Here is a 26382-nt window from a genome sequence, read left to right on the forward strand (position 1 = left end):
TAATCCCCTGCTCACAGCGAGTACAGTGCCCAAGGCGTTTAATGAATATTTAATGCATTGAAGGTTCGGAATAACACTTTATAGAAAAAGTTTTAGGGTTTAGGATAATATATGGAAACTGCTATGTTACTCTGTTACTTTGTCCACGTGATAATTAAAACACAAACGTACCTGAGACCCATCATTTTACCTTAAAGTGATGAGTTTTGAGAATTTACTTATGGCTTTTATTTTCTATTTCACATCCATACACTTTGATTTTGATGCCTCTACAAAGATGACTTCTTTCTGCTTTGGGTTTTCATTTCCAGCTTTAAGTGCTTTTGTTCCTGACTCTACCCACTCCATGTTGTGTGCTTTTCAGACATGACTGGCTATGAGACTTGCTTGTTACTGGGTGAAAATGCACTTTCTCTGGTCCACCCCAGATGTATAATGTCAGGGTCTATAGAGATGGGATCCAGTAATGTGCCTGTCTACCAAATTCTTCATCCCCGCTCTGGGGTTCCAGCAAGTTCTGTTTGCACAAAGAGGCAATGATACGTAAAGTAAACTTTTTATCCATTGTAGATTCTTAAACCTATGGGAATATTACAAGGGGAGATTCTCAGTGGAATTTTCAAATATAGAATGAAATGTATTTGCATTTAAAGTCACATTCTTACATATTAGTTGAGTGACTATTCAAGTCCAGGCCCTGAATCAAGTACAGATTTTACATTTAGACCTGTGATATGTTAGGTTAATTTTGTGGAAGGTGGAATGTCTGTGTCTAGATTAGTTTTGAGCATGTGCAAGTTAATTTGTTCCAGCTTCATTTCCTGAAGAGACTCTCCTTCCTCCATTGTATGGTCTTGTCTTCTTTATTTGTTTGGGTTTATTTCTGGCCTCTATTGTGTTCTATTGATCTATTTGTCTATTCTATTTTCAACACCACGCTTTCTGGATGATGACTCTAGCTGTAGAGCAAGTCTTGAAGTCAAGCAATGTTGTCCTCTGACTTTGCTCTTCTTCAACATTGTGTTGGCTGTTCTGGGTCTTTTGCTTCTCCACATAAATTTTAGATTCAGTTTGTTGATTTCTACAAAAGAGCTTGCCAAGATTTTGATTGGGTTTGAATTGATTCTATGGATCAAAGTGGGAAGCATGGACACCTATACAATACTGAGTCTTCCAATCCAGGAAGACAGAATATCTCTCAATGTATTTCGATCTTCTTTAGTTTTATCACCGTTCTGTAGTTTTCCACAAATAGTGCCTGTTCATATTTTGTTATACCTAAGTATTTTATTATTTGGTGCTATTTTAAATAGTAATTTTTAAGTTTCAAATTCCAATTGTTCATTATTGGTATATAGGAAAGCAATTTACTTTTGTATATTAACATTATATCCTGCAACCTTGCTATACTAGTCTATCACATCCAAGAGATTTTTGTACATTCTTTGGCATTTTCTACATAGGCAACTGTGTCATCTACAAAGGTAGTTTTCTTTCTTCACAACCTGTATATTTTTATTCCCTTTTCTTGTCTTATTGCATTAGTTGGGATCAGTATGCTGTTGAGTACAAGTGGTGAGAGGCAACATGGTTGCCTTATTCCTTATTTGAACAGGAAAGAATTCAGTTTCCCACCAATGAGCATCATGTCAGTTGCAGTTTTTTTGTTGACATTCTTTATCAGGTAAAGGAAGTCCCTCTCCATTCCTGCTTTGCTGAGGATTTTTATCATGAATGGATGTTGCATTTTGTCAAGTACTTCTTCTGCATCTGTTGATGTAATTGCATGACTTCTATTCTTTAGCCTGTTAATGTGATGACTTGTATGAACTCATTTTCAAATGTGAAATGAGCCTTGCATATTTGGGATAAATCCCATTTGGTCATAGTGTGTAATTATGTTTATACATTATAGGATTCAATTTGCTAATATTTTCCTGAGGATTATTGCGTTTAAGTTCATAAGAGATGTTGGCCTGTAGTTTTTCTTTCTTACAATGTCTTCATCTGGTTTGGGCATTAGGATAATGCGGGCCATATAAAATGAGTTGGGAAGTGTTCTTTCTGCTTCTGGGAGAAATTATGGAGAATTGGTATGATTTTGTCATTAAATGTTTAGTAGAATTCATCAGTAAACCAATCTTGGACTAATGCTTACAGTTTTGGAAGGTTATTAATTATCTATTCAAATTATTTTATAAATGTAGGCCCATTTATATTATCAAATTATCCTTGTGTGAGTTTTGACAGTTTGTATCTTCCAAGGAATTGAATGGTCATTTCATCCAAGTTATCAAATTTCCAGGCATAGAGTTGTGGTGATATTTCTATAATCCTTTTAATGTCCATGAGATCAGTAATGATGCCTCTTCTCTCATTTCTGATGTAAGTGATTTGTGACTTCTCTATATTTATCTTGGTTAACCTGGCAAGATGACTATCCATTTTATTAATCTTTTCTAAGAAACAGCTTTGGGTTTTGATTTTCTCTATTAGTTTCCTGTTTTAAATGTTATTGATATATGCTTTAATGTTTATTATTTTTCTACTGCTTGCTGTAGGCTTAAGTTGTTCTTGTTTCTCTTTTTCTGAAGAAGCAGCTTATATTATTGATGTTTTGTTTATTTTCTAATATATGCATTTACTGCTACAAATTTCCCTCTAAGCACTGTCTTCTTTGTATGTCACAAATTGTGATGCTATATTTGTATACTTCTGTTTAAAATGTTTTTTTTAATTTAACTTGAGATGTATTCTTTGACCCACGTGTTATTTTAAAATGTATTATTTCATCTCCAAGTATTTGGGTGTTTTCTGACTGTCTTTCTGATATTGATTCGTAGTTTAATTCCGTTGTAGTCTAATGACACACTTTGTGTGATTTCTGACATTTTAAATTGGTTAGCGTTTGTTTTATGGCTCATAATGTGGTCTGTCTTGGTGAATGGTCCCCACTAGCTTGAGAAGAAGGTGTAGTCTACAGTTATTGGATGGAGAATTTCTTAAATATCAATTAGATCAAATTGATTGATGGTGCTATTCAGTTGAACTTCAGTTAATCCTTAATGATTTTCTGCCTGTTTAACCTATCAATTACCAATAAAGAGGTGTTGAAATCTCTAATTATAATAGTAGATTTGTCTATTTCTTCTTGCAGTTCTACCAGCTTCCTGCCCTACCTATTTTGAGGCTCTCTTGTTAAGTGTGTAGACCTTTAGGGTTGCTATGTCTTCTTGGAACATGGGTCTTTTTGTCATTACACAATACCACCCTTTATCCCTGATAATTTTCCTTTTTTCCTTCTTCTGATGTCTGCTTTGCCTGGAAGTAACACAGCTATGCCAGTTTTCCTTTGAGCTTTAGCATGTTATATCTTTCTTAATCCTTTACTTTTAACCTGTCTGAATCATTACATTTAAAGTAGGTTTCTTACAGAAAAAATATAGTTGGGCCTTCATATTTCTTAATCTATTCTGATAGTCTCTGTTCTTTAATTGGTGCATTTAGACAATTCATATTTAAAATGATTATTAATATATTTGAATTAATGTCTACCACATTTGCAACTCTTTTCTATTCTATACATTCATCCTTTATTCTCTCCCTATATTTTTTGGTCTTTGCTGGTTTTAACTGAGCATTTAATATGATCACATTACATCTCCTTTCTTAGTATGTAATTGTACTTCTTTATAATATTTTTAATGACTACCCTAGTATTTCAACTGACATACATTTTTAACTATCTAAGTCCACCTTAAAATAACAGTATACTAGGCCGGGCGCGGTGGTTCACGCCTGTAATCCCAGCACTTTGGGAGGCCAAGGTCAGCGGATCACAAGCTCAGGAGTTCAAGACCAGCCTGGCCAATATGGTGAAACCCCGTCTATACTAAAAATACAAAAAAAATTAGGTGGGTGTGGTGGCACTCACTTGTAGTCCCAGCTACTCGGAAGGCTGAGGCAGAAGAATTCCTTAAACCTGGGAGGCGAAGGTTGCAGTGAGCCAAGATCGTGCCACTGCACTCCAGCCAGGGTGACAGAGTGAGACTCTGTCTCAATAAATAAATAAATAAATAAATAAATAAATAAATAAATAACAGTATACCACCTCACAGTACAGGTGCCTTATAACCATGTATTCTCGATTTCTTCCTCCTATCTTCTCTAACATCACTGCCATTCCTCTCACTTATTCATATGCTGTAATCACCCAATACATTGCTACTATTATTTTATTTTAAACCAACAACTATTTTTGGATCAACTAAGAAAAAGAAAATTAAATTTTTTTTTACCTTCATTCATTACTGCTCTGATGCTCCTCATTTCTTTATGTAGATCCAAGTTTCTGACCTACAGCATTGTCCTTCTCTCTGAAGATTTTCTTATAACATTTCTTGCAGAGAAGATCTGCTGGCAAAAAAGCAAAACCCTACTTGTTTTGTTTGTCTGAGAAAGTCTTTATTTCTTCTTCACTTTGGATGGATAATTTCACTAGATACAAAATTCTAGATCGGTGTGGAATTTTTCCCCCCAACACTTTAAATACTTCACCCTACTCTCGTCTTCCTTGCATAGTTTCTGATGAAATATGTATTGTATTTCTTTTCCTTTTTCCTCTAGTGGTGTTATTATTTCCTCTGATTTTCTCAATATTTTCTTGTCTTTGGTTTTCTGCAGTTTGTGTGTAATATGCCTAGATATGTTTTTTAAAAAAATACTTAACATGCTCGGTGTTCTCTGAGCTTCCTGGAAGTATGCTTTGGTGCTTATCACTAATTTTGGTAAGTTTCCAGACATTATTACATCAAATGTTTCTCATGCTCCTTTTTCTTTTTACTCTTCTGGTTTTTCAACAAAATATATGTTATATCTTTTGGCATTTCCCCGTAGTTTTTGAATATCCTGTTCTATTTTAAAATTCTTTTCGCTTCTTGAATTTCAGTTTGGAGAGTTTCAAGCTCACTAATTTTTCTTCAGCTATTCCCAGCCTATTGTAAGCCCATCAAAGGCATTCTTTATTTTTGTTATTGTATTTTTTATTTCTAACATTTCCATTTAATTTTTCGTAGAGTTTCCATCTTTCTTCTGACATCACCCATCTGTTTTGCATGCTGCGTACTTTTTCCATCAGAGCCCTTAGCACATTAATCACAGGTGTGTTACATTCCGTGTCTGATCATTCTGAGTCATAGCTCAGTCTTGTTCTGGTGCTGTCTTAAGGCTTTGTTTGGTTTGGTTTTCTTGCTTTTTTGGCACATCTTGTATTTGTTGTTGATATTGTTGTTGTAAGGCAGTTATGTTGTAAGAGGAAATAAGGAAATAGGCATTTAGTGTGAGACAGTGTGTTAATCTAGGTAGAGTCTGACTGTGTTTTGTGCTTGCTGTAGCTGCAGGTGCCAGAGGCTTCAAACTTCTCTACTGTTCTTGCTTTTTGTCTCTCCTCTTTTCCTTAGGTCTCCCTAAGTCTTCCTACTCAGAGAATGTCTGCACCTTGCAACTCTTTCACTGTTTTCTGCAGGAACCTGTCAGTGGGGTGGGGAAGGAGAGTGTTTCACAATATTCTGATTAAATCTGTCTTGTAATGGGCCTGTGTCTCAGGGCTGTGACAGTCACAAGCTTTTCTCCAGTAGTATAACTACTTTTTTCCGTAGGTGAGTAATGAGTATAGTGGGCTTGACATGGGAGGAATGCCATTTCAGCATTAGGACAATGTCTAATAAAATAAAATGAAGACAATGTTTTTTCTCTTCAGAGTAGGCCTTAATTATGAGGCACTCTCTGGGGGTCCTTCACAAGCATTACATTCCCACCATGGCCATGAGATCATTTTTGGATCTTCACCATGAGAACATGGTGGGGTTCCTGAAAGTAAAACTGAAGAAAATTTGGGCTCCCCAGTAAGACCATGCCCCCAGAAGTTTCTCAATTTCATGTTAATTCACACTGAGTCCCACAAGGTCATCAGAATCTCCATAGAAGTTCTCCTGTCACATTATGGCTCCAGTAACTTCTGCTCAGAGTAGTTGATCTTGGCTGATTCTCTGTGCTCACCTCCCAATTTTAGGGTGGCAGTTTTCCCTATAACTTCAGTTCCTTGACAAATCCAAAAAAGTCATGTATTTCTGTTTGTTTTGCTCTTTCTTATTGTAAGGATGGGAGGGATGACTTCCACTCTTTACATGCAGTCTCTGAAACTGGAAGTCCCTTAACTATGAATCAATGTATAACTATACTGACATGTAACTGACAGGAACACATTTATTTGCTCTTCAAGATACAGAAACTGCAGATCAGAGGGGTTATATGACTTACCTGATACCACAGAGGTGGTAAGTGGTAGCCCAGGGCCTTGACTTCAGACCACAACACTGCATTGCAGGAACAACTATGAAATTTGAAGCTCTTGATGCAAAATGAAAATGTGAGGTCCTTGTTCAAATTATTAAGAATTCCAATACTGTGATTAAGCATTAAGCCCATCGGGGGGGCACTTTCTGAATGTGGAGGCCTGTGAGGCTGCATGGGTCACTCTCCCATGAAGCTGGTTCTCCTTTACCCTGTCCCAGGCACCCGTTTCCCCAGGAAACCCCGCGTTGAGGCTGCCATGTCAGTGTTGAAGGGGCTTTTTCTCTTCTTTTCATCACAGGAGTTAACCAAGATTTATTGAGTCATATCTAAGAACAAGCTCTGATCATTGTACCTGCCCCTTCATAATCTAGAAAAATCCTTGCCTATAAATGCATTCTATATATTTTTAGTCCACTGAGTTACATTTCAGAGTTTTTTGGTATAGAAAATATTATACATTTTAAGTTAAGGTAGGAACAGCTTAATTGACCTCCTGGAAAAAGTGTATTGAGAACTCAAATATGATGTTCCTTTTTTTTTTCTTTTTTTGAGACGAAGTCTCACTCTTGTCCCCCAGGCTGAAATGCAATGGCACGATCTCAGCTCACTGCAACCTCCGCCTACCGGGTTCAAGCGATTTTCCTGCCTCAGCCTCCCAAGTAGCTGGGATTACAGGTGCCCACCACCATACCCAGCTAATTTTTGTATTTTTAGTAGAGACGGGGTTTCACCATGTTGGCCAGGCTAGTCTCAAACTCTTGACCTCAGGTGATCTGCCCGCCTTGGCCTCCCAAAGTGCTGGGATTATAGGTGTGAGCCACCGCGCCTGGCCTATGATGCTCTTTAAAACCATATTTCTAGGTGAGGCAGGATTTATTTTGCAGATTCACCCAAGTACATTTTCTTATATGCAAACAAATTTTAACTTTGATGCAACTATCCAGAGCATCAGGTCTCCTTTGTGTTTCCATAGGCCCTTAGCTATGGGTGTGTTCCCATACACCCTAAACCAGGGCACAGCAGGAAGCTCAGTGCTCAACTGATGGCCACTCTGACTTGGGTGGTCGTGGGTGGTGCTGGGGCCACAGAGTTTTCCTGAAGTCCCCAGATGATATTAATGTTAGTGCAGCCTGAGAACCATTCACCTCCTATGTCCTAGGCCAGGGAGATCCCAACACTCATGGCCGTTTCATAGGACATCTTACACAGGGCAGCTTGCTACACCTGCCGGGCCCACACGGGCACGCACGCACATGCATAGGCAACACACCAACATACATGCACACGTGTGTCTAAAGCGTCACTTTAAGCCCTTATGGTAGTAAGCACCAACAACAGTATTGCTATTTTGTTTTAGGGCATCGATCATTCTTGTTTTCCTCTTTCTCAGGAAAGTAAATCACCTTTTAAAAATGTCCCATGACTGTTTCTCAGCGCTGACAGTCTCACCACGGTGCTAACGATGGCTCAGCGCACACGTCTTGCTTCCTGAGCAGCGTTTTACCATCAGCCCATCTCTATTAGAGGGACTCCAGGGCACAGAGAGGGCCAGCAACCTTTCCAGGGTCACAGAGCTTGTAAATGACAGAGCAGAGGTCCAATCCTAGGCTCAAGGGCATACTCTGTCACACTTAACGCTCTGTGTGACACACAGGCTGCTGGTATGCAAGGCCACTTGTAGCTCCATGCTGCCCGATGAAGAGCCATCAGTTTTCTGAGAACCCAGAGCCCTCAGTGAATCCAGCCCCCTTGCCTCCACCTGCAGCTCCAGCACACAGACGTAAACCATGATGCCTCCATGTCTGCAAGGCTCATGCCGGCCTCCCCAGGCAGAGACAGGAGCGGACTCTCTGCTTGGCCTGCATACGCTTTTCAGGTGACGTGCATGCTTTCTCTTAGAAAAGGTGAAAGGGAAGGGTCAGGAGATGCAGGTCGGGCCAGGGTCCCTGTGTCCCCCACTCCCTCCATGCCCAGGACCCTGTGATGGCTACAGTGAAATTTCCAGATGTTTTCAGACTCTACCTTTGACTTTCGAGGCCTCACAGGGCAAACCCCCCTCTACCCAGTGTTTCTCACCAGCATCCCCAACTCCGTGCAGCCCCCTCCCCTCTGCAGAAGATACCCCCATTCCCCTGAGAGGTTCTGAGCCCACTGCCTTTCCAGGTTGTGACAGCATCGTCTCAGGGACCTGTGCCTCTGCAGCACAGGATGGACGGCACGACGCCCAGGTGAGCCACATCCACAGGCTTTGGTTTGGAGCCATCTGTTAAAAACACTGGGATTGAACTGTGAGGTTGTTTGTTTAAACCCATTCAGGAAAGAGGCCAAATCAGAGTTGATTTATACTCCAACAATAAGAGATTGCATTGGGCCAGGGCATTTCTAGGTACATAATCCTCCCTGCTCAGCCAGCTCCAGGTCAAGAAAGCAAACCTGGTGTCTGAAAAGAGAAAATGTGCATGCGGACCCACAGATGGAGGAGGCCATAGCAACTTCACGAACAGACAGAGAAGGCCACAGCAACTTCGCGTACAAATGGAGGAGTCCACAGCAACTTCACATACAGATACAGGAGGTCACAGCCTTTGCCTCTGCTAGGCTTCATCCAATTATTATCCCATCCCCAGAAGAACAAGTCAGTCTCCATAACTCTGCACTCAGACGTCCCTCAAAGCCTACCTCAATACCAGGTGGGGATGCAGCTTCTACACCTTCTGAAAAGAATCCCATCCGTTCTCACCATTGCCAAGCCAGGCTGCTCCTCCAACAGCAGTGGCAAATGGGTGGGACCTGCAGGAGCCGAAACACCTGGGAGGCAGCCAGTTGGCAGCCAGAACCCAGGGAAGGGCAGCTGCCCTCCAGAGTGGCACAGCCTCCTGCTGGCATGGTGAGTGTCCTGTCCTGAAGGTCAGGATGCGGGGATGCAGAGAGGTGAGCAGAGTGGAAATGGTCTGTGGCTGGGCAAGTGGGCTGGTCCATTTGACACTCATTTATTGCACATCTAGTGTCATTGAGCACTGTGTGGGGGGGTTGGAGCCTCTCTCTGACACTATTCTGTATGTGACCAAGGACAGGAACCCCCTACACACACACACTCACACACACACACAAACACATATGCATCTTACATCAATTGCCTGTAGCCAGGCCTCTCTCCACATGTTGATGGTAGAACATGACCATGATTCATATAGAGCACAGTGATGAGCTGAATTGTATTTCCCCAAATTCATATGTTGAAGTCCTAATCCCCAGTCCCTCAGAATGTGAATGTATTTGAACATAGGTCCTTTAAAGAGGTAATTAAGGCAAAATGAAGTCTTTGGGGTAGGCCCTAATCCAATGTCTGGTGTCCTTATAAGAAGAGAAAATTAGGACACAGACACACACAGAGGGAAGACAATTCCAAGACAGGGAGAAGATGCCGTCTACAAGCCAAGGAGAGAGGTCTCCAAAGAAACCAACCCTGATGACACCTAGATCTTGAACGTTCAGCCTCCAAAACTGAGAAAATAAATGTCTGTTGTTGAAGGCCCCCGATCTGTTGTTCTAGGTTGTGGCAGCCCAAGAAAATGAACGCAGGCTCTCAGCAAAGGATCTGGTCCGGAATATTCATTCTGCACATCATGGCGGTTAGTATGGCTTCATAATCACTGAGTAACCACTCTGGTCAATGATCAATCCTCTACCGTGATTGATTCATTCGTTTTAGTCATTCCATAAATATTTACCGAGAACCCAGCAAGTCCCAAGCAGTGTTCTAGGCACCAGAATACTCGCCGCCTTGTCTATAACTGTCAAACCTCTGACGGCACGGACAGAGCCCCTGGACTCACTCTGTCCAGCTTCATGGTGCTGAAACGGTTTCTTCTTGACCTGTCACGGACGCCCGGCTCTCCAGTACCGCACTAATCCTGCACAAACAGAAGCAGCCCTTCTTGTTTGAGTTTAGTTTCCAGGAATAGGTAGTCTCCACAAATGCTTTCTCGTGTCTGAAAACAAAAACGATGTGTACTGTAGCTGCCAGGAAACTTGGGGCACATTTGTTCCCTAAACACTGTCATCTGTTCAGTTCAGGTGCCGCCTGCATCCGCTCCTTCTGTCTCCCTCCCACGGCTTCTGTTCCCTTGTAGTTTTCCTTGCATTGGGCCCTCCATTATTCTCTCAAGTCCTTTTAGAAGTGCATGGGAAGTGTAAATCGTACATGAATTGCACCCTAGGTCACTGGGGCTGTTTCAGGGGTGGAGGTGAATGCCCATCTCATAAAGCAATGAAAACACAGAGGTTTTCACCAATCACCCCGGCATGAGCTGGGAGAAGATGTTAACCGCCGGTATGATTCGTGCCTGACTCACATAAACTCACTGCATCCATCAGTGCATTTATTCACTGTACTTGTGTGAATTCAGTCCCTTTAACCTACCAGACTTTAACGTAGATTCAAGAAATGCATCAGAAACGCCCACTGCCCTCAGGGAGCGGGCTGTGAACTGAGGAAGAAGCCAATTACAGTTGGATGTGGGGAGTGCTGTGCCTGGGAAGACTGGGGGCTGCAGGGCCAGGAGCCGCCTGCATTGCTGGGATCAAAAACACCTGCAGGAGACCCTGCCATACCCCCTGAGACTGGAGACACGGAGAGCAGGGGACTGTGAAGGGTCTTGAACTGGATTGTGAAGCCGTGCGAGAGGCTGGATAACAGAGCCGCACATGGGAATTTTTGCTCCGCAAGTCAACCTCAACCCTAAAACAAAAATTACATTTTTGTTTTACATCTGGCAACAAAGTAGATGTTTGTTGGGAGATTGAATACCAGATCACCCCATGATGAGAACATGACATTTTTCTTCCTTGTGGGGTTTCATTGCTGGGTCAGCCTCAAGACTGACAGAGATGAGATGCGGTCTTTCTCCCTGGCCGAGGATCCAGAGATGGTGCCAAAAGCGAATTTCCTGCTGGGTCCCTGATATCAGTGACGAGGTCCAGGGGCCCCGTGGGGCTGCTCTTGGTTTCTGTGTGAGGCTCCCACACTGATCTGATCAAAAGTGAGCTCCTAAAAGGCCCATGGAGTGGGATGGGTTGGGAGGGCGGTGAGAGCCCAGAGCCACCGAAGGCCCCAGGTAGCCAGTGGAAGGACAACAGGGCCCAGGAACATGCCCTGGGGCAGGTGGAGGCCGTCTCCTGCAACCTCACAGGTGCTGTCGTCTGCCCTGAAGTCCCACTGTGCTCACTTATATATGACATGGCATCAGGGCACCCCTCCTCTGGTCGGAGTGGTCCCTGGGCTCAGTCTTGGATTCTGGAGGTGTCCAGAAGAAGTGGGAGGCAGCCCTGCCCGAGCAGAGGTGGTCACGGCAGGTGGAAGCTGACATTGAACATGGAAGGCATGCCCGGGAGCCTTGTGCCAGTCTGCATGGCAGCATCAGTGGTTAAAAACCCACTGTCCACTCCCTTCAGCCCTTCAGCCCTGCTTCAGCTTCTGGGCCTCCCTGGCCCTCTCCAAGTTCCAGTAGTCAAAATTTAGTCCCTGGAGGGGCTCCTCCAGCTCCCGCCCCTGCCCTAGTGCCTGCAGCTATTGACTGGCCATGCTCAACCCACTAGTAGACAATTTTAACGTTACCCCTGCCGTGGCTCCCTCCAGGATTCTTTCTGCCATGCTGTTGAGCAGAAGACATGTCTTTCTCTGACTTCTTCTGCCACCAGCCAAAGAAAACTCTCTGCTCTTAAAAATCTTGCCTGACTAGGTCAGGTCCAGAGAAGACCAGCTCCCTTGGGACATAGGATGTAACCTGATCTCAGAGTGATGTCTCCTCATCGTTACAGGTTCTGCCCACACTCAATGGACTTCACAACGAGGATGTGTCCACCAGGGGGCAGAGATGTTGGGGTCAACTCAGCATCTTGCCTACCTTAGGAGGCTGGCTATCTTAGGGAGGAGGGTTGAGAGAGGGGAGAAGTAATTCTAGGGCAGAGCCCTGTGTTTAGCGGGCTGAGCAGAAGAGCGACCAAGCAAGCACACCAACAGGCTACTCAGTTCCTTGGTTAGGATCCCAGTGCTCCTCAGTGAGAGCCTGGGACTACAGCCACACACTCCGATGCCCAGGCCAGCAGTCCCTGTATAACTCTATCTATCCATCCATATATTCATCCCTCCACTCATCATCTGTTTACCTTTCATCCACTATCCATTGACCATCCATCCATCCATCCACCATCCATCCTCCATCCAACCACTCACCATCCATCCACTATCCATCCACCTTTCATCCATCCATCCAACCATCCATCCTCCATCCATCCATCAATCCATCATCCATCCACCATTCATCCACCCATCCACCCATCCACCATCCATCTGCCATCCATCCTCCGTCTATTCATCCATCATCCATTCCTCCACTCATCTGTCTACCATTCATCCACTATCCATCAACCATCTATCCATCCATCCACCATCCATCCATCCATCCTTTCACCATCCATCCATGCATTCATCCATTTATCCATCTATCCATATATTCACCCATCCATACACACATCTACCCATCCATTCACCATGCTTCTATCCATTCACCTAACCATTCACACATCTTTCCATTCCTCCATCCATCCACACATCCATCCATCCATTCATCTCTCCACCCATCAATCCATTCATTAATCCATCTATCCATCCATCCATCTGCCCTTCCATTCATCAAGTAGCTGTGAACAATGGCCGTGTGCCAGGCACTGTGATAGTGAATGAGACATGAAATAGGCCTTTCCCTTTCTGGGTTCACAGTCTAGAGCAGGTGTAAGACCTTCCCATGGGCCACTGCATCAAACTTTTTTAACCTAGACACTGTTAACATCTGTAGCTGGATAGTTCTCTGTTGGGGGGTGCTGTCCTGTGCATTGTAGGATGTTTGGCAGCACCCCAGTTTTTATTCACTGGATACCAGTAGCACCTCCCAGTTTTGACAGCCAAAAATGTCTCCTGATATGTCCAGACCCTTGGGATCAAAATCACCTCCAGTGAAAACTACTGCACTTTGTAACTGTGGTTGGGATGCCTTTTCTAGTGAGGGAAACAACGGTTCTTAGGAGCACCTGGGGAAACATGCACATCTGCAGGTGTCCACCTCCTGGATCTGCTGCACTGGGGTCCCCAGGTATGTCTCCACAGGTGAACACACCTGTCATCTGCAGGTGTCCACCTCCTGGATCTGCTGCACTGGGGTCCCCAGGTGTGTCTCCACAGGGGAACACACCTGTCATCTGTAGGTGTCCACCTCCTGGATCTGCTGCACTGGGGTCCCCAGGTGTGTCTCCACAGGGGAACACACCTGTCATCTGCAGGTGTCCACCTCCTGGATCTGCTGCACTGGGGTCTCCAGGTATGTCTCCACAGGTGAACACACCTGTGTGACAATGCTTTAGGAGGTGAAGGTGGGAAGAGGAGCAGTTTGGTGGCTCCTCTGCATGGGTGGCACCCATGCATCCATGGGTGGGGCTTTGTAGAGGGCACAGAAATGGGGCCAGCCTAGAGCAAGGTGAACACCTGAGAACAAGCACAGTGACCCAGGCAGGGGCTGGGATCAGGAAGAAGCCTGTTTGGTGGAGGGCTTTCTCTGGATTTAACATGGATTAGAGACTCACCACTCCAGCTCCACACACACACAAAACAAAACGTATTTAAGATTCTTCCACGTCACTTCCACCCATGGCAACTTCTGCCATGTTTGAATTTTCTCAGAAATATTTGCTCAAATCATCCATGTTAAAGGGCCCAAGTTCTAAACCACCACAGTCAACTACTGGCTGCGCCAGAGCTTTGGCTTTTCTCCATCTACCAGCTCTGTCTAGCTGGTCTATTATCCTTTATCCTAGCATGAGACTAAAGGACCACAAGATGTGGCAATGCAGGTTCTTCAAGATGTTCTATACGTGTCGTGCTTCTCATTTCCTCTACTCCAGACCAGCGTCCCCTCAACTAGCCTCCTCCACTTTTACTTGTGCCCATTGACACTGAACTGGCTCACAGCTGCTGCCAAAGCAAGGAGATATGTGTGCCTCACTGTATCCACATGGTCTCTTCAGCACCAACTGACCACTCCAATGCCACAGGAGTGGCACATCAGGTGAAAGGCCGAAGGCACTCTTGTCAAGGCATCTCAAAATCACCTGGTCCTAGTTCTGCTTCCTTGATTGGCCTGGGCAAGGGTGATGTGTGACAACATGGAGCCAAACATACAGGATGCCCTTAGGTTGAATCAAGGGCTCCAGCTACCCCAGCTGCCCCAGCTCCCAGGCCAGCAGTAGGACAGGTGACCACACATTCACACATTTTGAGCTGACACTGGGCTCGGAGACCTCCTACAAGGCGCTTCAGTCTGCCGCGTCTCAGGCTTCTCGTGGTCAAGGGGATAATACTCTGCCTTCAACCCAGAGAAACAGCATGAGGATTCAGTGAGATAGTCCAGGAAAGGGGCTGAGAAGCCCCAGAAACTCATAGTTGACCGTGGTGGTCTACTCACCCACTGTAGGGGATGGTTACTCCTCAATAACCCAGCCTCTGTTTCCCTTCAATCTGGTAGCAACACCCCAATTGTTTCAATAAGAAACTACCCCTTATCTTCTCTCAGTCTTTGTGGTTAGGACAGGGCAGACTCCAAGCATCCTGTGGCAGGGATGGGACCTTGAGCCAGGTCCCAAGTAAAAGAGTTTTCCCTCCCTAGACCACAGCAAATGGTGAAGAAATGAGCTTGTGATCAAGGCAGGTCTAAGGAGAGGTGGTTCCAGGGCCACTGGTCTGAGGAGCCGCCAGCCACCTCACCTGCAAGGAGAAGAGAGCCTGCTCAAGAACCCAGCCACACTGGGAACAGCCCAGATGATGGGCCCAGAGCAGGAGCCTGACTCACGGGGGCAACATGGGGTCCCTGCACCCTGCAGCCCACTGTGCCTGAACCTGGAGTTCCAGTCATGTGAGCAACACTTTCCGTTCCGTCTTTGACACAAGCACTTCTGAGTTAGTTTTTAATTTCCAATTTAAGAACCCATTTTTGTATTTAAAACTCTTCTAGAACTCCCCTGGGCAGGTCTATAGTTTTCAGCAACCTTAAGGGGAGAAAGGAATCACTGCCACCTAAATTTAGTAGCTTTGCAGCATAATTAGAAACCAAAATCCCGGCCAGTAATTCTGCATCTCCTATTTGGTGGTGGTGGAGGAAGCCATGTTTTAGAAAGCATAAGTGGTGGACTTTACAAGTTGCTTTTATTTTCTGAGATAGAAATAAACCCAGGAGTAGTGACTCACCTCCCTCTAGCCTGGCTACAATTTTCCACATCCAATTCAAATATTGTCTTTAATTTTTAATTTGGATCTGACTGATGCAAACTAAGTGCATCATCTCTGCCACCAGCTGGGCAAAGCATCCTGTTCCCTGTGGTACAACCATCCTGTTCCCTGCAGAATGTACTGCAGGAAAAGCCTCAAAGATGGATGTAGGGAACAGTGAGGGCGGGCATTGCATCTGCTTTTGACAAATGAGTATTAAATAGAAGAATAAATGGCACTATTGATGCATCCTCTTTTATTTATGGAGAGCTTTCTCAACTTGGCCTCCTGCTTACCAGTCTTGCAGCCCCGCATGGGCCCTGGATCTGAGAGTCTGTCTGGGAGATAGAGGTTTGCTTGACAAAGGCCTTTCACACACCTGTGGCCACACTTCTCCCTACAGCCTGGAGAATAGAGATCCACAGAGACCCTAGAATCTGCCTCCCTGGCATTCTCACTTACACTGTGATCATTAAAAAGTGTATTGGAATCTACTCCAGGAGGGCAGGAACATGTCTGTATCTCCAGCCCTGGAACCATGGCTGCCACGAAGTACATCTCCAGGAAACAGCTGGTGAGCAAATGAATAAAGGAATAAACATGTCTCAGAATGTTGTGAACTACGGATTTTTCATTCAAAGTTGCTGGAACTGAAACCAGAGAAAGGTTTCCATCTTTCTGATTGGCCGTCTTAACACATGACTTACCTCATAGTCTAAGATGGCTGCTGGAGCACCAGCCATCATATCCTGTTTTCAGACTGGAAGAAAGAGGAAAGGAAGAAGGACAGCATCCTAGAAGCTGCCTTCCTGGCTGTCATGCACATTTCATTAGGCAGAACTTAGTCACTTGGTACATTTCACTTCATGGGAGTTTGAGGAGGGTGTTCTTTTATGACAGGGGACAATTTGTTACACCAAAGAAAGAACAGAATTTTTTGGCTGGGTAAGTTGGCTCATGTCTGTAATCCCAGCACACTGGGAGGCTGAGGCTGGTGGATTACATGAGATCAGGAGTTCAAGACCAGCCTGGCCAACATTGTAAATCCCCATTTCTACTAAAATTACAAAAAAAAAAAAAAAATCAGCCAGGTGTAGTGTGGCACATGCCTGTAGTCTCAGCTACTCAGGAGGCCGAGGCAGGAGAATTGCTTGAACCCGAGAGGTGGAGGCTGCAGTGAGGTGCGATCATACCACTACACTCCAGCCTGGGCGACAGAGCAAAACTCCATCTCAGAAAAAAAAAAAAAAAAATCAGAACTTTAATATTAGAGAGGAAGGGAGCATGGACTTTGGGCTGAGCAGGCAGCAATGTACTACAACATGCAAAACACCCAGAATCTGCCTTCCAAAATATCAGCTAGTTTTCTAGCCCTGGTAAATTTAGCTTTCTTTCATGATTATATGATCAATCACCTTCTTACTGGGAGGACTGGCATCTCCATGAGGAAATAACCTGAGAGGCCTTTACTGAGTACTAAGTCCCAGCTCCCAGCATCATGCTTGTCCCGGGGCAGAGGGAACTCAATAACGGTTCTGCCTCATGCAGAACCCTGGATTTCACCATGGGTGTGTGGACATGCCCAGGACAGCTTCGCTGGTGAGGCAGGGAACACAGGCAGTGCCGCTGTGCAGAAGACGAGTTGGTCTTTACCGTGTGGTGGCATCAGGAGGCCTGTGGAGCACTGAGGCCTGTGGAACACTGAAGTTGCAACTGTCTGGGATAGTCTCCAAGAAACTGCAATTCAGCAGCTGGAGGTGGGGCTCGGTGCCTGCATTCATCTTGATATCCCCTGCATTACCACAGCTGCAATCAGTGAAGTCTCAGCTGGAAAATGAAGCTGCTCGAGGGGTCTGAGGGTCTACATGTTGCCCGAAGGGGCCCCCCCAGCCCTGTGCTGCTCTCCGCCACCTGTCTGGGTGGACGCTGATGGAATGATCATGAAAACTGTGGATGATACAAGTATGAGAGGGACAGCAACCCACCAACCGCAGCAGCAAGGAGAGGCTTCACCCCGCAGGCTGACGTTGAACAGAAATAGACGTGAGGTTCTGAGTTGAAGCCTGAAAAGCACAGCCAATATGTGCATAAAAGAAACGTGTAGGATCAGTTGTTTGAGTACCATCTTCAAGGCTTTCTTCAAGTCACCCTCATAATGCAGCTGTCAGGAAAGTATTTAATGGATACTGGGATGCATTAACAGGGGCATAAGCTTAGGAAAGCTGGAGGTGATAGGCCCATTGGAGGTGGTCCTTGCAACTCCCCCTTGGAAAACTCCGCAGATGTCTATGCAAACCATTCTCCCGTGATGGGACAAGCCAGCCAGTGTCCTGAGGGGCATGGCCAGGGTGGTAATGAGATGTGCTCATGTAATATGAGGGAGCATAGAAGGAGCAGGATATGTCCACTCGAACAGGGAAGTCTCTGCAAAGGACAGTTCTTCACTGGCCCAGGAGGCAGGGGGAGGCTGGGTTCAAGATGCTTCAGGCAAACATCTTGATGCTGACATATGGATCACAGAGCTTCAGAAGCTATCAGGCCCCACGTGGTATAGGCAAATAGTGTGTTCCCCGCCACCAGAATTGCTCACCCAAAGATGGGAATCACCAGACAGGAATGCCACAGAGGAGCATCTACCCTCACACTGTTCTCAATAGACCCCAGTTACAGAGGGCGTTTCCAGACAAGCGTGAGAAAAGTGGGAATGACGTCTGTTGGGAAACATAACATCCTCTGTCCTCCTTGGAAGACTGAGGTTGAACTTATGGGCTTGAGAAAGGCCCTGAAAAGCCTTGCAGTAAACACACTTGGCCACGTTGGTGACACTCCCAAACATATTGGACCCACGACCTTTTTTAAGATAGAAGTTCTCTCCATGTCTCACAGCACTGGTGATTGGTGTATTTCGAGGACGCCGTCTTTACAGGGACTTAAGGACAGCCTTAGGGCTAGGAGGTGGGTATTTAGGGTGCCCTTCTCAACACAGAGAGGCATGGATTCAGGGGCGAGCCACCCTTCCAGTCAATCAAGCCCAGCTATGCCAAGGCCTCTGTCAGATCTGCTCAGAAGGAACTGTGTCTCTCTCCTGCCCCATCAAGCTCCATGAGGTTAGTGAGCACAGTTAAATCTCCAGCTCCAAGCAGAGCAGGGGGGTCATAGTTGATATTTTTTTAAATATTTGTTTAAGAAAGAATGGGGAGGGGCATCGTGCTGCGCGAGGTCTCCAGTTCCAGCGATACCTATTATCACCAGTTCCAGCGAGACCTATTTTCACCAGTTCCAGCAAGACCTATTGTCACCAGTTCCAGCGAGACCTATTATCACCAGCTCCAGCAATATCTATTATCACCAGCTCCAGCGATATCTATTATCACCAGTTCCAGTGATATCTATTATCACCAGTTCCAGCGAGACCTATTATCACCAGTTCCAGTGATATCTATTATCACCAGTTCCAGCGATATCTATTATCACCAGTTCCAGCGATATCTATTATCACCAGTTCCAGCGATATCTATTATCACCAGCTCCAGCGATATCTATTATCACCAGTTCCAGCGAGACCTATTATCACCAGTTCCAGTGATATCTATTATCACCAGTTCCAGCGAGACCTATTATCATCAGTTCCAGCGAGACCTATTATCACCAGTTCCAGTGATATCTATTATCAACAGTTCCAGCGAGACCTATTATCACCAGTTCCAGCGATACCTATTATCACCAGTTCCAGCTATACCTATTATAAGCGAGATCGGTGGGAATTCCATCCAGAAGATTCCCAAGGCCTTTTTCCATACAGGAGAATAACCCAGAAGAGGCTTCCTCAGGGGACGGGGCTGGCTATATGTGATTGTTTTTCAACAGAGCTCTGGCATGTGGCTTTCTGTCCCAGGAGAGCCTTGGCAATTTAAAGAGGCAATTGCTTCTTGGGCTCACCCTTCAAAAATGGAACTAATGGAGCCACAGATTCCATCACAGGAGCTCTGGGGAACTGGATAAAACCCAAGAACGACTGATTCTAGACAACATCAATATTTGTCCCATTAAAACGTGCAGTATAAAAATCAGTTACATTGTTGACCATGCTGCTCGGGTCCTCATGGGCTAATCCCTCCTTATGAAACCTGATCTCTCTCACTCCCTCATGCTGAGAGGCAAAGAGCTTTGCAAAGGGGCCAGTGCATCTGGCCCCATCACCCCTCGGAGCTCCATCGGTGACGATGTCTCTGGCTGACCCCATTTCGTCGGTTCTTTCCTTCCCATATAGCTAAGTCTTCCGGCACAGTCGCCAATGCAAATCACCCACTTATGTTCTCACACAAAATTCAATTGCCAATTTGTCTTTTTATTTCTTACACTTAAAGTGATTTGCCTTCAAATAATCTACGATGAATTGTTCATTTTACTACCGCAGGAAGCAATTGGTTCATCCAGGGAGCCACTAAGTTTACAATCATTGTCGGGGAACTCGTACTTCTCCAGCTTCCCTGTGCAGCAGCTGGGGAAGCCCCTCGGGGGGCTGCTGAACAGGGGGTACAGTGCTTTCCCCCGGTTCCTGTGTCCCCCCCACCCACGGAGTCAAGAACCAGCCACTTCTTCCCCTGCCTTTGGGTGGGGCTGGGGGACAGGAGTCAGTGCTGGTTTAGCTGGTGCCCTGGGATGCAGGTTCCTCTCTGGGAAGTCATTAATTAGCTTCATTTGCCTCACTGGCACTGGCGTTTGGCCATAATGGAGATGGATTTGATGGTATAATCCCTCGTGGGAAATGTGAATGAATTCCAGAGGAAGGGGAATTGGCCCGGGAAAACAGGCGGCCTGCTCTGGCTTAGTGCTCCTCCTCACCCACACGCACACCAGGCCATCGCCCCAGCCTGGGCTTGGCCCCCGCCCTCTGGGAAGGGACATGCCCTTGCTCCTCATTTGCAGATATGAAGGCAGGTGGACCACCTCTGAGACCACTGTCTCAGGCATCACAAGCCTCTGTCTCTCCCTTCACAATAGACTCAGACGAGGTTTGCCAGGTCTGGGCCATCTGAGAAACCTAAAGCCTTGGAAACAGAAAGAACCTGGCCGCATCTGCCCCTGGGCTGGTCTGGCTTAGTCAGGAGGGCAGCCCTTGGCCCAGGGCACAGACACATGCCTGGGAAGGAAAGCGAACGTGTGGCACACACTGCTCTCGTCTTTCCATTCATCCTTTATCTTTTCAGCAAACCTGTGCGACATAGGACTTGCTCTCCCAACACCTGTAACTCCTGCTTTGTAGAGGGATGTCAGGAAGGAGGACGGAAGGAATTTTGAGGTAGAAATAGTGTGAGGCGTTCTGGTCAAGGCATGGGCTACTTATCCACCTGCTGACAGAGATCCTCAAGCTGCGAGAAGGTGTAATATCAAAAGCACACTGTGGAATTTAATTGGCAATTAGAGATGGTGGCTTCCAGCTGGCCCTCTAATGTCCTCTTTCAGAAAGAGAAAGTGGACTGTAGCTCTGGAAGTAGGTGACCCAGGGGAATGGGACGTGCCAAGAACTGGGAGGCCAAGAGCCAGCACAGATCTCACATGGACACAGGAATGCTCCAGAAAGCACAATGCATTATTGATTGTCATGAAAGGAGAGACTGAAGTTTTATCTTAAATGTATGTCTGCATAAAAGAACCTGACAGGGCAAATCAATAAACAAGAGGATTGCTTGTCGGGAATGGCCAGTTTTATTGTTTTTGTTTTTTTTAATCCAAAAAATGCTCAAAGAAAGAAGGATGACTTCCTAGTCAGGTAGGTCAGAGAAGGTGGCAGAAAGTGTGGTGGGAGGCCTGGGAAGCAGGGCTGGCTTGCTGAATTACAAAACAAAAAAGAAACGCTTTCCCCCTCCCTCCACCCACAAGGAGGAAGCAGACACGGGGCCTTCCCAGGTGGCCACGGTGGAAGCTGCCCCGCTGTCTGGGAGGTTTTCGTGGGCCTGTGGACGTGCCGCCCAGCAGGGACTTCCACCCCCAGAGGTGTGCAGATACACAAACAGAAAATGCACACACACTCTGGTAAGCAACTACCTTGGATGCTGTCCTTGGCTGGACTCCCAGAATTTTCACATCATCAAGATTTCATTGAACCTTCATAGAAATTCTGGGAGATGAGCGTATGCCCCCCATTTGCCAAATAGGACATCTGAGACCACCTGCTCAACCAAGAAAGCCCTCTCCACCTCTCGCCTTATGGACACCAGAGGGAGACACTGTGAGAGGGAGCCCTTCTTCATCCCGGGACATCACGGGACGTGGCACTTGATGAAGAAAGCTGGGCTAGCCCTGAGGTCCACTCCAAGCACAGCCTCAGAGTCAGGCAGCCGTGCTAGGGACCATGCTTCCCCCAGTGACTGACGGGGTCCTATGACCTCCTCAGCCTCAGAGGCCCACTGCAGAGAGTAGAGACAGCCACAGGCCAGCAGAGTGTGACATGAAATGAGGGATGTGGGTTCAAAACCCCTGGGCGGTGCCAGGCACCCAATCACTGCCAAATCAATCACGGCTGCTGCCATTGGTCTCACTGGCTCCTCGGGTGTTCTCTGGATTCCTCTCCTTCAGCCTGGTCTGAAGTCCACCTTGCAGGGAGACTTCCACTAACCACCAGAGTGGAGCGTCCAGGCCCCAGGTGTAACCCAGCCCCACTGCTCCCTCTTCGGTCACAAATGTGCTTATTTTCCCCTTGCTCATTTTCTGTCACCCCCACTCTATTGCAACTTTTATAATGAAGGAAGCTGGCAGATGAATAGCAGTTGTGTTCCATATCATTTGTCGGATGGATGGATGGATGGATGGATGGATGGATGGATGGATGGATACCTGCTTTTTGTCAGATCTCAGACTGGAGTTACAGCTGGAAGGAAAACTGTCAAACCTATAAACGACAAAAGCACATTTCAAGGCATGGTCAGAGTACAGGGATTGGGGGGCAGGACTAACCCAATCTGAGGGACTCAGAATGTGGGGCAGAGCTTTGGAGATGCAGAAGAAAAGGGTGAGGAGGATGGCCTCATGCTGCACTAGACCCACAGGTCCTCTGCCTGTGCGCTGTCAACTCTCTGCTCTGTAGAGAGTCCTGTTAACATATTTAAACAAGTAGACTTGATTTCAGACTACACAGATCACCTCTCCCACAGTGTCACTCCAGCTCATGGCCACCGAGGACTGAAGCACAGCCAGGCACATCCAGAACCCACAGCGGGAGCGGGTTCCGTGGAGCAGTGCCAGGCATTTTGACTGCTCAGCAGCATCTTCAGCCTGAAGAGGCACCAGCCCGAAAGCCTCAGTGGTCTGTCACTAATGATCGTTTAATACTGTTTGGTATCAGTTTTGTGTACACACTTCCAAACAGAGTAAATTGCATGTGGGTGTTTACATTTAAGGAGAGCTTCTATGTTAGAATTGATAGAACTTTAATTTCCATGTGGCTTCCACAGTAAACATGCAAATGGCTCTTTTCAGTATTACCAAGCCTTAGTTATTTTTAGGGAAGCAAAATGTTTTACTTTAGCCCCCAGACTGCATGGAATTAAAAGCAAATCCAGATGGGACCAGATTGGAGAAACAGTGACGTGGACAGAACCAGCTTGCATCTCCCGCCTCCTTCCTTGGCTCCCCTGGGTCCCAGGGGCCCTGACCCATGGCCTGAGCCGGATGGGGGATCCTCTGCTGTGGATGTTTTGCAACCTGGCAGGAGTGAAGCATCTTGTGTGGAGTAACAGTGAGCATGGACCACTCCTGCGTTAGACGAGATCTATCTCCTGCAATAGGGATCTAAGGCATCTATCCCCGGGGAGAAGAAATGGGACAGAAGAGGGAGCGGAAGTCTTTCCCAACTCTTCTGAATCTGCCCTGATGAGAGGCACACGGTGGAGAAACAGCCACTTCTGCACTTCAGCCCATGCTGCTGGGACTCAGGGACCCTGAGCTCTTTGCGATTTAGTTACCCGTGCTCCAATCCAATTCCATAAATCGGAGACAGAGGTGGAAGCTCTGAGCACAAATGTGGATGGTCGCAGGAGTGAAAGCAGATGATGGCCGGGACTGTCCACACTAGGACTTCTCCTCTAGGGGCAGTTCTACCTCCCAGGGGACAAGGAACAATACCTGGAGACCTTTGGGTTGTCACAGCTGGGTAGGCGCTACCAGCATTTACAGATGCATCCCCAGCTTCGGAGGAGGCCGGGGCTGCTGTGAGCACCCTACAATACCTAGGTGGGACGGCCCTGATGACAAAGAACTCTCTGCTCCCAAATGTCAGTACTGCCGAGATGGGGAAACCCTGTCCTAGAGAGGGCAGCACCATGCCCTGCAGAGCCTGGAAATGGGCCACGAGTGGGCTACACTTGCCTGTGCCCCTGCTGGGTGCTCAAGGCAGCCTGGTGGGTGGGGCCAGTCGGAGCCCCCAGGCTGTCTCAGAGGCTTCCAGCAGCCTCATCCTCCCAACTCCATGAGCCAGACAAAGTTCATCATGGTCTGTGTGTCCTTGGAGGTAGAGAAGTTTGGGGGGCCTGGTTAGAACTCGAGAAGCAGCTGGCTGTTCTCATGTACCACGTGAATGTGATGATTAGGGCGGGGTGAGCGGCAATGGCTGCCCTTGCTGTGTGTGGCCTGAGGCCTCTGCACTGCACCTTGGGCATGCGTGACCCTATCTTAGACTCTCTGCAGCCCTTCGAGGTGAGGTCAGCAACCATTCCCACCCATGGGGCAGGAATCTGATGCCAAGAAGGCCCCTTTGTCCAGGATAACACAGGTACGCAGGGCCCAGTGATCAGGATTTGAAGTTTCACGCCCAGCAGCAGCCCAGCCTCACCCAGCAGCAGCCCAGCCTCACCCAGCAGCAGCCCAGCCTCTCAGCCACACTGCAGAGCTGCCTGTAACCAACAGCCACCCGTGATCCACCACAAGGTGCAAGAAAACACCTTCCGTGTCTTTCAGATGAAGAAACAAGTGCCCCAGGGCCTCCTCCCCACCTGTGGTTTACACTCTCAGAGGCCAGGGGAAGAGATGGCTAAAGGCCTCATTAAGTGGCTGGAGCCTTGTGGGCTTAGCCGTGCCTCTTGCTTTGACAGCTGTGCAGAGCTGAGTGTTTTCAGAGCTAGGGAAGGCGAGAGGGGCTGCCCTCTCTCAGGGCTCCTTTCCAGCCAACTCACCTCTGGGCCGAAGCCCATCTGCGAGAACAGACCCTGGCCCCGCAGGAACAAAGAGAGAAACTGCGCTCCTCAGGGCACTCAGTGGACCTGCCTGACAGCCACCTTGCCGGAGCAACAGGGGTTCCTAGAGGGACAAGAAGCTTCACGGCTCAGCACACGGATTACTCCTCAAGGGCCCACACCAAGCCGCTTCTCCAGTGAGAGAGGGCTCACAGCAGAATCGCAGCTTCCACTGCAGGGGAACATGGAGATGACAGGTCCAGGATTTCACTCTGCAGGGGAGGACAGCAAGCCCTGAGGGACCATGTTGGACATAAAGACCCCAGTGGCAGCAAGCTGGTGCCGTATCGATGGGGGGCCGAACATGACCTGGAGTTGAACGACACTCCAGGAAGCTCAGCGGGCTGGGAGCCAGGACCTCGCACACTGGAAGGGGGGTTCCCAGTGCCCAGAGCTGTCTGCCCCTCCATCAGCCCCTGAGCTGACTGTCTTTGCTTTCCTGGGGAGTCGATCTCATTCTCCACCTGCCGGGAGGACAGCCCCCTACAGCCCAAGTCTGCATTCTTTTCTGACCATGAGAGGTGGTGTGTGGCCACCCTTACACCACTGATTCAAAAACCCGGCAGGTGCCTCTCAATGATGCCAATTGCAGCCAGCGGCAACACCAGGGCTGAGTGTTCTGGAAGGGCCTCAGGCAGCGGCTCGGTGTTTCTCACAGGCTAAAATATGCTGGCCGCAGAGAGAGAATGACGGGAAGGTAGTGGCCAGCCCTAAGCGCTGGCTCCCCCAAGTCCACTCTGGGATACACAGAGGTGACTAAAGAGAGCTGGGGAAAGGTCTGGGCCGCAGAAACCCCTGAAGAGTTCGTGGGGAACTGAGGAGCCTGCCTTCTCTTGCCATCTTGAAAAAGAAAGAAAATGAAGCAAGGATGAAGACAAGTTCGGGAGACACACAGAGAGCTCCTGTCATTTACCCACAGGCGCTTTGGAAGGAGAGGTGATGAGGCACGGCTCCTACCCCAGGGGGCTTAGAATTAGTTGAGAATGCAAAAAAATAATAATAAAAAAATAAACTGGGCTCATCAATGAGGCCGTCTTAAATATCACATTTTTAAAAATCAGAAGAGATTAGGCTTGGGGTCAGAAAGACCCAAATTTGGCCTCCTGCAGACTCTGAGAGCTTCAGATGAACGGTTTTATCTCATAAGCCTTCATGTTCTTATCTGTACAATGGGATTAATGATACTAATAGAATTGCCTGGTGGGACACATACCCATCTTTCCCACCGGAGAGAAAGTTTAAGAAGCTAAGGGGGGTTATTGATCATGGGGTAAGGGGATGCATAGGCAGATGGGGTTGGGGTGTCATCTGTTTCCCCCAAAGTCCCTGCCTTGGGGGACAGAGTACTCCAGGATACATGTCCTGAGAAATAACTGAATTCCCACCCCACTCCCATCAGGAAAGGCTTCTCAGGGTTGCAGGAAGGAGGAGAGGCAGAGGGAGGTGATGCATGCAAGCCACCAGTGTGACCAGACATTTTCT

General features: G+C 47.1%; 1 annotated feature.

Moving 5' to 3' along the window:
* Nucleotides 24907-25827: an enhancer, noted in NCBI's record as "H3K4me1 hESC enhancer chr20:59632462-59633382 (GRCh37/hg19 assembly coordinates)". NCBI's record gives its function as "activates a minimal SCP1, AML or CMV promoter by ChIP-STARR-seq in primed H9 embryonic stem cells {active_cell/tissue: H9 hESC(primed)}" and the evidence as "EXISTENCE:reporter gene assay evidence [ECO:0000049][PMID:30033119]".

This window comes from Homo sapiens, chromosome 20 (genome assembly GCF_000001405.40).
Source record: "Homo sapiens chromosome 20, GRCh38.p14 Primary Assembly".
Lineage (NCBI taxonomy): Eukaryota > Metazoa > Chordata > Mammalia > Primates > Hominidae > Homo > Homo sapiens.